Source organism: Homo sapiens, chromosome 16 (assembly GCF_000001405.40).
Source record: "Homo sapiens chromosome 16, GRCh38.p14 Primary Assembly".
NCBI lineage: Eukaryota > Metazoa > Chordata > Mammalia > Primates > Hominidae > Homo > Homo sapiens.
This window is the reverse complement of record NC_000016.10, coordinates 10,513,300-10,528,403: the sequence shown is the minus strand read 5'-3', so window position 1 is coordinate 10,528,403 and position 15,104 is coordinate 10,513,300. Positions and strand designations below refer to the sequence as shown.

Sequence of the window (15,104 nt, the reverse complement as noted above, 5' to 3'; positions counted from 1 at the left end):
TTAATGGGGCCAGCTTTGCAGCCCTGCAGCCTGGGTAGTCGCACACATTTCCATGCATCCAAGGCCCCCATGCTTGGGAGAATGATCTGCTAGTGCCATTTTAAATTATTTTATATGTATTTCTTGTAGAGACAGAGTCTCGCTGTGTTGCCTACACTGGTCTAGAACTCCTGGCCTCAAGCGATCCTCCTGCCTCGGCCTGCCAAACTGCTGGAATTGCAGGTGTGAGCCACTCACTGTGTCCGGCATAAAGTAGAACATTCTTACAAGAAATAAATATTTCGTAGTCATGGAGAAGAACGCTCCTAAAATGTATGTATCCGTTCATTCATCCATCCATTCATTCATTCTTTTATGGGGCGGGGGGTCTGTTGCTTATGCTGGTTTTGAACTCCTGGGCTCATGTGATCCTCCCACCTTGGCTCCCAAAAGCATTGAGATTGCAGGTGGGAGCCACTGCGCCCGGCTTTAAAGTTCTTCGTATTTGAACAAGCAGCCCCATATTTTCACTTCTCAGGGATCCCCACAAATGACTGATCCTGTTTGTTTTTTAACCTTCCTGTTCATTGTTACTAGATCATGTTCTTTCATTTCATTTGTATTTAATAAAGACCTCTGCTTTAAAGGATGAGGTCATGATGGAATGAGACTATCTTCTACCACATATTCTGCTGAAAACTGAAAAATTCAGACAGAGAAGGAGAGAGAGAGAGACAGACAGATCCCTTTAGCTTCTATCTAAGGAATGCCAAAGGTAGCAAAAGCTATCTTTGTATCTTGAGAACACTCATTTCCATACTGTCACACAGGGTTTACAAACTAAAATCTTCAGAGGCTACTGTCTGCCTTCTTTGTGTTTCTAGATTGGATTTTTTTTTTTGTCCATATGGCTGGGGGATGGTGATCACCCCAGAACACTCAATTTCATATTTCTTCCATTCAGGAAATCAGCCTCTCATTCATTCATTCACCAAATATTTGCGTAGCTGTAATGGTACAAGCATTGTGCTAGGTGTTATGGTGACATCCTGTGCCTTTGTCTCCATTACATACTATGAACTTTTGGAAGGACATGATTGAACCTTTACCACCCATTACCAGGCCATAAGGAGCCCCAGCTGGACACAACTGAGATCACAACACATCACCCATCGCCCTGGAGTGGGAGCCGCCTTAATGAACTCAGTCCCTGCCTTGATCTAGATAATATTAGTCTCAGTTTCAAGTTTCCAGGGCTAGATTCTGATGGGTCTGTCTTGGGTAACACACTCACTCATCATTGCCCCAGTACTTGGCTGGAGTCAGGAGTGAGATCAAATTATGCAAACATGCGGGTCGCGGTGCAGTGGCTGATGCCTGTAATCCCAGCACTTTGGGAAGTGAAGGCGGAAGGATCACTTGATGCCAGGAGTCTGAGATCAGCCTGGGCAGCACAGCGAGACCCCATCTCTATAAAAACTACAAAATTAGCTAGGCATGGTGGTGTGCTCCTGTAGTCCCAGCTTCTCAGGAGGCTGAGGTGGAGAATCGCTTGAGCTTGGGAGGTCCAGGCCGCAGTGAGCTGTGATGACGCCGCTGCACTCTAGCCTGGTGACAGAAACTCTGCTTCAAGAAATAAAAATTCTTGTACATTCGTGAAACGAACTAACCCCTTCCCAAGAGGGATCTAACCTGAGGTCTCAACCGGCTTCCACTTCCAGCTCCCACTCCAGGGCGATGGGTGATGTGCTGCATCTCAGTCGGGTCCAGTTGGGGCTCCTTATGGCCTGGTAATGGGTGGCTAAAGGTTCAATCATGTCCTCTCAAAAGCCCCTAGTATGTAATGGAGACAAAGGCACAGGATGTCACCATGAATTGTCCCCTTGGAAAAGGGACAGGCAGAGAACCAATGTCCAGCGGCCACAGGTTCATTATTGGTCACAAATAGCAGGAAGCCCCTTCCCTGGCGGGAGGGAGATTGGTGGCTGCTCAATCCGTTGCTCTTGGTCCTGCTTAGTGGAACCATCTCCCTCATCCACTGTCCCCTGTGGTCAGATTTAAGATGGGTAGTGTGGAGCAGGCCCTTTCTTTCTTTCTTTCTTTCTTTTTTTTGAGACGGAGTCTCACTGTCTCCCAGGCTGGAGTGCAGTGCCGCGATCTCGGCTCACTGCAAGCTCCGCCCCCCCGGGTTCACGCCATTCTCCTGCCTCAGCCTCCCGAGTAGCTGGGACTACAGGCGGCCGCCACCACGCCTGGCTAATTTTTTTTTTTTTTGTATTTTTAGTGGAGATGGTGTTTCAACGTGTTCGCCAGGATGGTCTTGATCTCCTGACCTCGTGATCCGCCCGCCTCTGCCTCCCAAAGTGCTAGGATTACAGGCGTGAGCCACCGCGCCCGGCCAAATGAAGCGTCCATTGACCGGGAACTTTCTTTCTTCCTCTGGGTGTGAGGCCTAGTGTCTCAGAGGTAATTTTCAGCGTTGTATAGTTACAGGCTCTTCTCAGTCACAGATGGGGTTCCTTTGGCCATGCAAGATCTTGTCTCGACCCAATTTCTTCAAGTTTTTTTTTCAAAGCACAAAACATTTATTATCACAGAGATTTTGACAGTCAGGAATCCAGTAGTGGCTTATCTAGGTAGTTCTGCCTATGGCTTTTATGTGATGGGCCTAATAATTTGAGCCTCAGAATTCCTGGCCCCATGCCTCTGAGCTTTACTGCAGCCTTGAGGCAATACCTGCAAAGCCCTTCTAATCTGAGCTATCTCTCTATGCCTGTCCCTCTGTCTGATGAAAAATGCTAAAGGATCTAACATATCTTTTGCTGGAATCCCATACATCTTATCTTCTGCTTAGCTTTTTGCCGCCACACTATTGATCCTTCATTTATAGCAGGGCTTAGCAGATTATTTGCTTTTATATGGTTTACAAGCTGAGAATTTGTGTTCTTAAAAAGTTGTGAAAATAGTTGGGCACGGTGACTCATACCAGTAATCCCAGCACTTTGGGAGAGTGAGACGGGAGGATCGCTTGAGCCCAGGAGTTTGAGACCAGCCTGGGCCACATAGCAAGACACTGTTTCTACCAAAAAAAAAAAAAAAAAAAAAAATGCTGTGAATGGTGGCGCAGGCCTGTGGTCCCAGCTACTTGAAAGGCTTAGACAGGAAGATTGCTTGAGCTTGGGAGATGAAGGCTGCAGTGAGCCGTGATCTTGCTGCTGTACTCCAGCCTGGGCAACAGAGTGAGACTCTGTTTCATCAAAAAGGAAAAAAATGTTTTAGGCCGGGGCAAGTGGCCCACACCTCTAATCCCAGCATTTTGGGAGGCCGAGGTGGGTGGGTCACTTGAGGTCAGGAGTTTGAAACCAGCCTGGCCAACATGGTGAAACCTCATCTCTACTAAAAATACAAAAATTAGTCAGGTGTGGTGGCAGGTGCCTGTAATCCCAGCTACTTGGGAGGCTGAGGCAGGAGAATCGTTTGAACCAGGGAGGTGGAGGTTGCAGTGAGCTGAGATCACACCACTGCACTCCAGCCTGGGCAACAGAGCAACACTCCGCCTTTAAAAAAAAAAAATTGTAAAATAATGCAAAGAAGAATATACAACAGACTTTATTTGGACTGGGCGTGGTGGCTCATGCCTGTAATCTCTGCACTCTGGGAGGCCCAGGTGGGTGAATCACCTGAGGTCAGGAGTTTGAGACTAGCCTGGCCAACATGATGAAATCCCATCTCTACTAAAAATACAAAAAACTAGCCAGGTGTGGCGGCGGGCGCCTGTAATCCCAGCTAGTAGGGAGGCTGAGGCAGGAGAATTGCTTGAACCTGGGAGGCAGAGGTTGCAGTGAGCCGAGATAGCGCCACTGCACTCCAGCCTGGGTGACAAGAGCGAAACTCTGTCTCAAAAAAAAAAAAACCTCACGTGGCCTGCAACGCCTGAAATATGTACTATCGGCACTTCATAGAGAAAGTTTGTCAACTCCTGGTCTTGCACTTGACTTGTCTATTTCTATAACTCTCTAAATCTTTGGATTCTCCATCACTGTAGATTGCAGGCTTCAGGCAGAAGGAATCTTAGCAAAGCTGCATTTTCTTCCATTTTGCCATTGGACCATGTTTGACCCAAGATTTACTTTTTCTTTTTGGATCTTACTGAAGGCTCTAAGAAGTTGAACTTGCCAACATCCTGATATATTTCTACAGTTTCTCCTGATACTACAACATCCACAGGTTCATGGTTGGTGTAAAATAGGCGGCAGTTTGAACCAGGCTTCAACTATGGCCTGTGGGCCACATCCAGCCCACCACCTGATTTTGTAAATTAAATTTTATTGGGACACAGCCACACCCACTCATTTACATAGTGTTCATGGACGCTTTCCAGAGTAGAGTTGGGTAGTTCCAATAGAGACCATTTAGACCACAAAATCTGAAATATTTACTATCTGGCTCTTTGCAGAAAAAGTTTGTCAAACCAAATGTTTTGCCATAGCGTGACAAGAGTAACAGCTTCCCAGCCTGAATAACAGTATCTCCACTGCCCTCTGACCTGACACTGCCATTCAGCTAATTCCACGTGAGAGTGTCTGTTGCTTGCAGCACTAACACAAGCTACCAAACTTAGTATTAGTCAAGGTTCTTAGTTGCAAGCAATAGTGACTCTGGCTGATTTAAACAGAAAAGAAATTTACTAAAGGGAAAGCTAGTAGTGCCCAGGCTTGAAAGCATGTGCCAAATCCCCCCTAGTTGCCTCAGATCGTTCCACAGAACAATTTGGTAAGAAAACCACTGCTGTCAGGGCCGGGCACAGTGGCTCACGCCTGTAATCCCAGCACTTTGGGAGACCAAGGTGGGCGGATCACCAGGTCAAGAGATCGAGACCATCCTGGCCAACATGGTGAAACCCCGTCTCTACTAAAAATACAAAAATTAGCTGGACATGGGTGTGCACGCCTGTACTCCCAGCTACTTTTGAAGCTGAGGCAACAGAATCGCTTGAACCCGGGAGGCGGAGGTTGCAGTGAGCTGAGATGGCACTACTGTACTCCAGCCTGATGGCAGAGTGAGACTCTGTCTCAAAAAACAAAAAACAAACAAAAAAAGAAAACCACCGCCATCACCACAAGATGGTATGGTTTGCAGCCAATATTTGCACCTGTGCTATCCCTCCTTCTGTGGATTGGGAGCCTGGCATGGTGCCTCTGACTGGTGAAGCCTGGATCACATGACCATGTCCTGGCTGCAGGGAAGGCTGGGAAATGATGAGCAGCCATCTTCAGTTTACATCATGGTGGTTAGTTCTGCAACCCACCAAGACTCAGAAGGAAAGGAATTCCCCAACGTAGGAAGGAAGTTCAGATGTTGGGCAAACAAAATATCAAATGTCTACTAAATCCTATCAGAAGCCCAGTTCCCTGTCTACCCACAGCTAATTTCAAACTATATTCATCCATATCACACCTACATATTCTTTGCTATATTATGTACAGTCTGCACTGTTGTTACATACTTAGCTTTTTTTTTTTTTTTTTTTTGAGACAAGGTCTCACTCTGTCACCCAAGCTGGAGTGCGGTGACAAAATCATAGCTCACTGCAGCTTCAACCTCCTGGGCTCAAGCAATCTTCCCATCTAAGCCTCCCAAGTAGCAGGGACCATGGGCGTGCACCACCACACCAGGCTAATTTTTTATTTTTATTTTTGTAGAGATAGGGTCTTGCTATGTTTCCCAGGCAATCTGGAATTCCTGGGCTCAAGCGATCTTCCACCTTGGTCTCGCAAAGTTTGTTTCCTGTTTTTTTTTTTTTTTGAGACGGAGCCTCACTCTGTCGCTCAGGCTGGAGTGCAGTGGCATGATCTTGGCTAATTGCAACCTTCACCTCCCAGGTTCAAGCAATTCTCCTGCCTGAGTCTCCTGAGTAGCTGGGATTACAGGCATGTGCCATCACCTCCAGCTAATTTTTTTTTTTTTTTTTTTTTTTTTGAGACAGAGTCTTACTGTCGCCTAGGCTGGAGTGCAGCAGCGTGATCTCGGCTCACTGCAACCTCTGCCTCCCAGGTTCAAGCGATTCTCCTGCCTCAGCCTCCTGAGTAGCTGAGATTATAGGCACCCCCCACCACTTCCAGCTAATTTTCATATTTTTAGTAGAGACAGGGTTTCACAAAGTTGGTCAGGCTGGTCTCGAACTCCTGACCTCATGATCTGGCTGCCTCGGCCTCCCAAAGTGCTGAGATTACAGGCGTGAGCCACCACACCCAACCCACCCCCAGCTAATTTTTGTATTTTTAGTAGAAACGGGGTTTCACCATGTTGGCCAGGGTGGTTTCAAACACCTGACCTGAAATGATCTGCCCATCTCAGCCTCCCAAAATGTTGGGATTACAGGCATGAGCCACCACGCCCAGACCCAAAGTGTTTTACATGTCAAGATGTGGAATGAATCTCTACTCCTCCCTCAAAACATGTATCTCAAAAATTTCCTGCTTCCAATGCATTTGCTTCATGGCCAGGGGAAGCCAAGCGTCCAGAAAGTGGAAGAGCGGGTACTACTACCACCCCCTAGTGGTGGCATGTGACAACACGGTATAGCAATAAAACATTGAAGCAAAGATACCAATTGCACATCCAACTTAGCCAAACCCAACGCAGTTGATAAAAGCTGATGTGTACAAATCCTGATTAATTTAGAATTAAATCTGTTACTGCTAGAACATGGCTATGTACCTACTTTCATTTATCTCAATTTATTAATATATAGCCATGGGATTAGCCATGTGATTTTTGTGCTTTTGTTAGTAGTATATTACTACATTGAGACAGATTTACAGTTTGCAACGGAATGTCAGTGTAGAATTGACTATACTTGCATGAGAAAAAGAATATATTTTCAGTACAAACCTATTATGAACTCTTTATTCATTCATTAATTATTTATTTTTGAGACAGGGTCCTGCTCTGTCACCCAAGCTGGAGTGCAGTAGTGAGATCTCAGCTCACTGCAACCTTTGCCTCCTGGGCTCAAATGATCCTCCCACCTCAGCTCCCGAGTAGGTGGGAGGATCACAGGCACATGCCACGACGCCGGGCTAATTTTTGTATTTTTTGTAGAGACAGGATTTCGCCATGTTGCCCAGGCTGGTCTTGAACTTCTGGGCTCAAGTGATGCCCCTGTCTCAGACTCCCAAAGTGCTGGGATTACAGGCATGAGCTACCGCACCCAGCCTTGAACTCATTTTAAATAGGTGTATTATGAAAAGTCTCTGTGAGTGTTTTCTTTCAAAAGTTTCTTTCTTTGTAAAGTTTTTCTTGTAAGAACTCCATATTGTATACCTGTAGGGCAGAGTTTTGCAGCATCAGTACAATTGACATTTGGGCTGCAGAATTATTGGTGGGGACTGTCCCGTACACTGTAGGATGTGTGGCAGCATCCCTGGCCTCTACCCACTAGATGTCAACAGTGCACCCCACCCCCCACCACTGCTGTGACAACCAAAGATGTCTCCAGACATTGCCAAATGCCCTCTACAAGGGGTAGGGACAAAATTGCCTCCAAGGGAGAGCCACTGCTGTTGGGTCCTATATACACCAGGAAATACGGTGATTGGCAACCATGATGGTGGGGCTACTTGGGGGCTGTTGGAAATTGCCAGCGAAGGTGGTTGGCCTAGAGTAGCTCACACCCATTTGGAAGGAAAGCCAATGACAGTCTCCCCCACCAGGGCCCTTGTTGTCTCTCTGAACACACAGGAGAACAGCACGGGATGTTCCCCATCCCAAAGCTGAAACGGCACATTTGCTCAATATTTGTCATCAGCTAAAACAAACAGACCAGAGGAACCAGGAAGAAACGGCTTCTCTGTGTTTGTAGAAGGACAATAGTTAATTTCACCAGGGTCTTGAACACATGTAAGAGAAGAGAGGTGTTACTTCACCTTGGCACAGGGTTACTTTAAAGCACAGATTTTTTATGCTTATTTTTTATTTTTTTGGCCAGGAAGGGAAGTTCAATTGCTGTGGTCTGCCATTGTCCTATCCAGAAAGAAATGATGGCAAGCCAGATGTGGTGGCTTATGCTTGTAAGCCTGGCACTTTGCGGGACTGAGGTAGGAGGATTACCTGAGCTCAGGAGTTCAAGACCAGCTTGGGCAATGTAGTGTGACCTTGTCTCTACAAAAAATTTTAAAAATTAGCTAGGTGAGGTGGCACACTTGTCGCCCCAACTACTCAGCAGGCTGAGGTGGGAGGATCGCTTGAGCCCAGGAGATTGAGGCTGAAGTGAGCTGTGACTGTGCCACTGCACTCCAGCAAGAGAGGAAGACACTGTCTCAGAAAGGAAAGGAGGCTGGGTGCGGTGGCCTGCAATCCCAGCACTTTGGGAGCCAAGGCAGGCAGATCACTTGAGGTCAGGAGTATGAGACCAGCCTAACTGACATGGTAAAACCCTGTCTCTACTAAAAATACAAAAAAATTAGCCAGGCATGGTGGCGTGTGCCTATAGTCCCAGCTACTTGGAGGCTGAGGCAGGGGAATCATTTTAACCCGGGAGGCGGAGGTTGCAGTGAGCTGAGATCATGGCATTACACTCCAGCTTGGGTGACAGAGTGAGACTCCATCTGAAAAAAACAAAAAAAAAAAGGGGGGGAAGGGAAGGGGAAGGGAGGGGAGGGGAGGACAAGGGAGGGGAAGAGAAGGGAAGGGAAGGGAGGGGAGGGCAGGAGAAGGAAGGGGAAGAGAAGGGAGAGGAGGGGAGGGGAGGGGAAGGAAGGGGAAGAGAAGGGGAAGAGAAGGGGAAGGAAGGGGAAGGAAGAGGAAGGAAGGGGAAGGAAGGGGGAGAGAAGGGGAAGGAAGGGGAAGAGAAGGGAGGGGAGGGGAGGGGAAGGGAGGGGAGGGGAGGGGAAGGGGAAAGGAAGAAAGGGGAAGGGGAAGGGAAGAGAGGGGAAGGGAAGAGAGGGGAAGGGGAAGGGAAGGTAAGGGAGGGGAGGGGAGGGAGGGGAAGGGGAAGGGGAACGGGAAGGGAGGGGAAGGGAGGGGAGGGGAGGGGGAGGGAGAGGAGGGAGGGGAGGGGGAGGGGGGGAGGGAGAGGAGGGAGGGGAGGGGGAGGGAGAGGAGGGAGGGGAGGGGAAGGGAGGGAATGGAGGGGAGGGAAGCGAGGGGAGCCTTTGGGAGGCTGAGGTGGGAGGGTTGCTTGAGGCCAGGAGTTCGAGACCAGCCTGGGCAACATAGGGAGGCCCCATCTCTACAAAAGTTTTAAAATTGGCTGAGTGTGGTGGTGTGCACTTGTAGTTCCAGCTACTCAGAAGGCTGAGGCAAGGGGATCCCTTGAGCCCAGGAGTTTGAGGCTGCAGTGAGCTGAGACCATGCCGCTGAACTCCATCCAGACTGGACAACAGAATGGGACTCTATCTCAAGGAAGGAAGGGAGGGAGGGAGGGAAGGAGGAAGGAAGGAAGGGGGAGGGAGGGAGAGAGGAATCAAGGGAGGGAGGGAGAAATGGAAGGAAAGAAGAGAGGGAGGGAGGGAGGGAAGGAGGGATGAAGAGAGGAAGGAAGGAAGAAAGGGAGGAAGGAAGAGAGGGAGGGAGGGAGGAAGAGAGGTAGGAAGGAAGGGAGGAAGGAAGGAAAAGAAAAAGACAGTGTCACCTGAAACATGGTTAGAGAAGTGCTGAAGCCGCTAAAGTGGGGAGGCTGCAAACAGCAGGACTGAATCAGAAGGGTCATCTAGAGCAGGCGGTGGCTGATCTTGTCATCGGGAGACGAGAGGAGTCGGGGAAGAGCAGGAAGGTGTGCAGTCAGCACGTGGAGCAGCTGCTGGCTTATCCTGTAGGTTTTCCTATGGGATGAACGTGAGGCAGGTTGCTGGGAGTTCCAAGCAGGATTAGGAGCCTTCAGTCTGAACTGCAGACATCCCAACCTCAAGAGTTGCCTCCAGGCCAGGCATGGTGGCTCACACCTGTAATCCTGGCACTTTGGGAGGCTGAGGCGGGCAAATCACCAGAGGTCAGGAGTTCGAGACCAGCCTGGCCAAGATGGTGAAACCCCATCTCTACTAAAAACACAAAAATTAGCCAGATATGGTGGCAGGCGCCTGTAATCCCAGCTACTCGGAGGCTGAGGCAGGAGAATCCCTTGAAACCAGGAGGCAGAGTTTGCAGTGAGCCGAGATTGCACCACTGCACTCCAGCCTGGGTGACACAGTGACTCTGTCTCAAAACAAAACAAAACAAAACAAAACAAAACAAAACAAAACAAGAATATTCACACACAAAAAACAGTTGCCTCCACTCAATGGCAAGGTGGGACTTGCAGGCTCCGCCTCCCTGCCCCATGTGTGAGTTGACCCAGTAACCAGAGCACCTGCTAAAGGACAGGCGACTCCGCCCTCTATGCTCCAGCCTCATCTGCTGAGCTCGTTCCCTGGCAGAGGAAGCAGAGAGCCAGAGGGTGATATGGGGCAAGTGCCCACTTAGCAGATTTAGCCAGCAGGTCAACTAATTTTAAGTTTCACTTGGCTTTCTGTCTCGTTGTACTTGAAAAAAGTCTTTATAATTTGCTGGCTGGGAAAATAGTTGCTTAAAGAATGGTTTATGGATGCTCTGCCTTAGAATCCATGGGGAACATCTTGAGATTGCAGATTCCTGGGCTGCGCACCAGACTTGCTGAGTCAGAACCTCAAGGGCTGGGGCCCTGGGATCTGCCATTTTGACAGGCTCTCCAGGGATTTGGATTGAGGGACGTTGGCGATTGCAATTGGGAATACTTTGTGGGATGCTTGATTCCGTAAACTAGGCCAATTAGCTCAGTTTAGGAGGTGGTTATGACCCAGAGCATCGGAGCTTCCTCCTTACCTGTCAGTTCTCTTCTTTCCCTCTCTAAGCACAATAAACACAGTGGCCCTGAGAGGTGTCTTGAAAATATAATAACAGGCCAGGCGCGGTGGCTCACACGTGTAATCCCAGCACTTTGCGAAGCCAAGGCGGGCGGATCACTTAAGGTCAGGAGTTCAAGACCAGCCTGGCCAACACGGCAAAACCCCGTCTCTACCAAAAATACAAAAATTAGCTAGGTGTGGTGGCAGGCGCCTGTAGTCGCAGCTACTTGGGAGGCTGAGACAGGAGAATTGTTTGAACCCAGGAGGCGGGGGTTGCAGTGAGCCAAGATCACACCACTGCACTCCACCCTGGGTGACAGAGGCTGACTCTGTCTCAAAATAAAAAAAAAAAAGAAGAAAAAAAGAAACATCTGAGACTGGGTAATTTATAAAGAAAAGAGGTTTAAGGCCGGGCACGGTGGCTGACGCCTGTAATCCCACCACTTTGGGAGGCTGAGGCAGGCAGATCACAAGATCAGAAGTTTGAGACCAGCCTGACCAATATGGTGAAACCCTGTCTCTACTAAAAATACAAAAACTAGCCAGGTATGGTGGCAGGCACCTGTAGTCCCAGCTACTCGGCAGGCTGAGGTAGGAGAATCTCTTCAACTCAGGAGGCGGAGGTTGCAGTGAGCCATCATTGCTCCACTGCACTCTAGCCTGGGCAACAGAGAGAGACTCTGTCTCAAAAAAAAAAAAAAAAAAAAAAAAAGGAGGTTTAATTGGCTCATGGTTCTTCAGGCTTTATGGGAAGCATGATGCTGACATGTGCTCAGCTTCTGGGGAGGCCTCAGGAAGCTTACAGTCATGGTGGAAGGCAAAGGGGAAGGAGGCATGTCACATGGCCAGGGCAGGAGCAAGGGTGGGGGCGCCACACATTTTTATTTTATTTATTTATTTTTGAGACAGAATTTCACTCTTTTTGCCCAGGCTGGAGTGCAATGGCGTGATCTCGGCTCACTGCAACCTCCACCTCCCAGGTTCAAGTGATTCTCCTGCCTCAGCCTCCTGAGTAGCTGGGATTACAGGCAGGTGCCAACACCCCCAGCTAATTTTGTATTTTTAGTAGAGACGGGGTTTCACCATGTTGGCCAGGCTGGTCTCCTACTCCTGACCTCAGGTGATCTGCTCCCTCGGCCTCCCAAAGTGCTGGGATTACAGGCGTGAGCCACTACGCCCAGACACCACACAGTTTTAAATGACCAGATCTCATAAGAACTCACTATCACAAGGACAGCACCAAGTGGATGGCACTGAACCATTCATGAGAAACCACCTCCATGATCCAATCACCTCCAACCAGGCCCTACCTCCAACACTGGGGAGGAAAATTCAATGTGAGATTTGGGTGGGGACAAATATACAAACTACATCAACACCCCGAATTCTTTCTGGAGAGCTCTCTCTGCCTCCCTGTGGGCAATGTCTTGTAGAGGTCAATCAAAGTGACTTGTAGCATATGACCCAAGCCAGGCCAATCAACTTCCTCTTTCGGAGCCTCTCCTGGGCTCCCCAGTGGGATGCCACAAGGATGGAAACCCAGTTGATCTTGATTCCTCCAGCGCCTGTCTCCTATGAAGTCTCCCCTTCAGCCTCTTCTCTGATATTCTCCTTGCTGTGTGTTGAGCCTTCTCTAGCCCAGAGCAAGATTCTGGGGGTTACCCCATGTGCTTCCCCCAGCCCCTCTCCTGATTAAGTTCTGGTGCTCTCAGCAACTCTGAGTTTTCTGAAGGTTTTCTCTCCTTTTTTTTTTTTTTTTTGAGATGGAGTCTCACTCTGTCACCCAGGCTGGAGTACAGTGGCACAACCTCGGCTCACTGCAACCTCTGCCTCCTGGGTTCAAACGATTCTTGTGCCTCAGCCTCCCTAGTAGCTGGGACTACAGGTGCATATCACCACGCCCGGCTAATTTTTTTTTTGTATTTTTAGGAGAGACGGGGTTTCACCATGTTGGCCAGGCTGGTCTCAAACTCCTGACCTCAAGTGATCCTCCCGCCTCCGCCTTTCAAAGGCTGGGATTACAGGTGTGAGCCACCACACCTGGCTGAAGATTTTCTCTCTTATTCCATGACTGCATCCTGCTGCAATGCTCTGGAAACCTTCGTCCTGTTTTATATTTTCAAAGGGAGCAGAAAAGAGTTGAGGTTTCCTATGTGATTTATTTGGCCACATTCAACTTAGTCCATCAGATAAGCTTTGTTATCGTTGACTACATAGACTGCATGGCTTCTATGGTTTCATTGAGATTTGAACACTTTTCACTTGTGTTGGATTTTCAGCTTAAACTAATTTATTTTAATTGACGTCATTCAATTCCAATTTTATAAAAGGATGAACGCACGACGGAAAAGAGTAGGGAACATTTTGCTTGATGAGAAAATCCGCCAGCAAGGATGTTGGGCTCTAAGCAGAACTGAAGCTCTGGAATTAAGAACACAGCCAAGGAAGAGCTCTGGACTCTGAGTTTAAAGAAGCTGACTGACTTGTAAGGCAATTCCAGGTAAGATTGGTGAATCAAGTTAAGAATCAAAAGCAACTGAGATCAACGTGGAGGCCTGGAAGGTAAGGGCCATATTTTACCTAGATACTAGCTTAGAGACTTGCTACATTGGCACTGTATTTTAAGTATGTTATTTAGTAGTATTGTGAAATCAACTGGTTTCAACATTGAAAAGGATAAAAATAGCTTATGAAAACAAAACGGTTTTTTTTTTTTTTAAAGGATAAGGTGCATGTTTAATTTCAATTGCAGAAATGAAGGGAAGAGGCACTCCTGCCACCTGGTGGGCATTTATCCAAATTGTTTGTTCAGGTCTTTTAGGGGTGAAATTCGGGTTGTTGAATCTAGGTTGAACACACAAACATTCCAGCCCCAGCAGCAGTTGGGTCTTATTTCCTTCCCCTTGACCTGGGATCTGTACCTTTCTGTTTCCAATTAAGGCCTTTATAAATGAAAGCAACCTGGTTTGGCCAGATAAAAGTTCATGTCTCCTTGCCCGTGTCCTTGTGAACTGTATGACACTGCTCTCTGGAAATCTCGTGTGTGTACTTTTCACTTGTTAACCTCCTGTGTCCCCCACTACAAGGTCAGCTGCAAGAAGGCAGGGATTCTGTCTGGTCTTGCTATTCATGATAGTGCCTGGTACACTGTCTGGCATATTGGTCGATAGTTCCCTGATGAATGAAAATTTAACAAATAGGTGAAAACAGAGTTTTGGGTTGCCTGAGTGGCATGTTCCAAACCTTTACCATATGGTAAACCTCTTAGTTCAACTGCTAATAATTTCTTCTGTGTCTTGGGTTACAATCAACCTACCCAAGTTTGGCCTCTATCTTGCTGCAAGAAATAACTCCTGCCCATAGCTGTACCAGATTAGATTTATACAGAACCCAGTAGCCTGAAAGAAGACCTCCAATCCTACTACTTAACTATCCCAAATATCTCTCTGCTTGCTACTCATGGGTCCCAATTTGCAAGCAAGTGGTAGGTGAGTGTCCCTGGCTCATGGGACATTTTTTTTTTTTTCGTAAGGAGATAAGGGGTAGATAAGTAGAATTAGCCCAGTGGGAAATGATTTCAAGCTGCGGATTGATGATTAGGGTAATTTGTGGGTAGTCCAGAGAATGCCCCATGATCCTAAAGAATTACCATCATGCGTTGTTGCGATAGTGGTCAGATGAGTTTGAATTGATCATTGGCTGTGATTAGGGAGTCTCCTGTGCTGACCCATGTCCTCCCTTCAGAGGCATCTGGAACATCAATCCTGCAGATTATTCAGCTCATTAGGAATTCCCCGTGGAAGCTCAATACTTTCCTGAATCTGAATAGTTAAACCTCTGTGTTGCAAAAATCAAATACCATCTGGCTTTTGTGTTGTCTTGGCTAAATCCAGTCAATCCCAGCTTCTTCAATGGCATTTATGATATTCTGTTCCCACAAATCCAGAGAATCATAACTGGGTTAGAAACAGTTTTATTTAATCTTGGGTGTAGAAAGATTGTTTTCATAGATCAGACAGCATTTACCTCCATCAGAGTAAGAAAAAAGAATGTCCAGGTGTGTCCTTGCCCCAGTGATCACAGCATCTGTTGATATGTTCCTTGATATCAGTATATAGATCAAACTTACTGTCATCTTTAAAGAAGTTTACTTCATTCAAGTGCGGTGGCTCATGCCTGTAAAACCAGCACTTTGGGAAGCTGAAGTGGATGGATCACTTGAGGTCAGGAGTTCGACACTAGCCTGGCCAACATGGTAAAACC

At 47.6% G+C, this 15,104-nt stretch overlaps 1 long non-coding RNA gene across 1 annotated transcript; it reads left to right on the top strand.

Annotated features, from left to right (window-relative positions):
* LINC01290 (long intergenic non-protein coding RNA 1290) lies at window positions 206-13,562 on the top strand. The gene is made up of 2 exons (NR_149081.1): window positions 206-312; window positions 13,172-13,562. It is a non-coding gene; the product is annotated as a long intergenic non-protein coding RNA 1290 (long non-coding RNA).
* The last annotated feature ends 1,542 nt before the right edge of the window (window positions 13,563-15,104 follow it).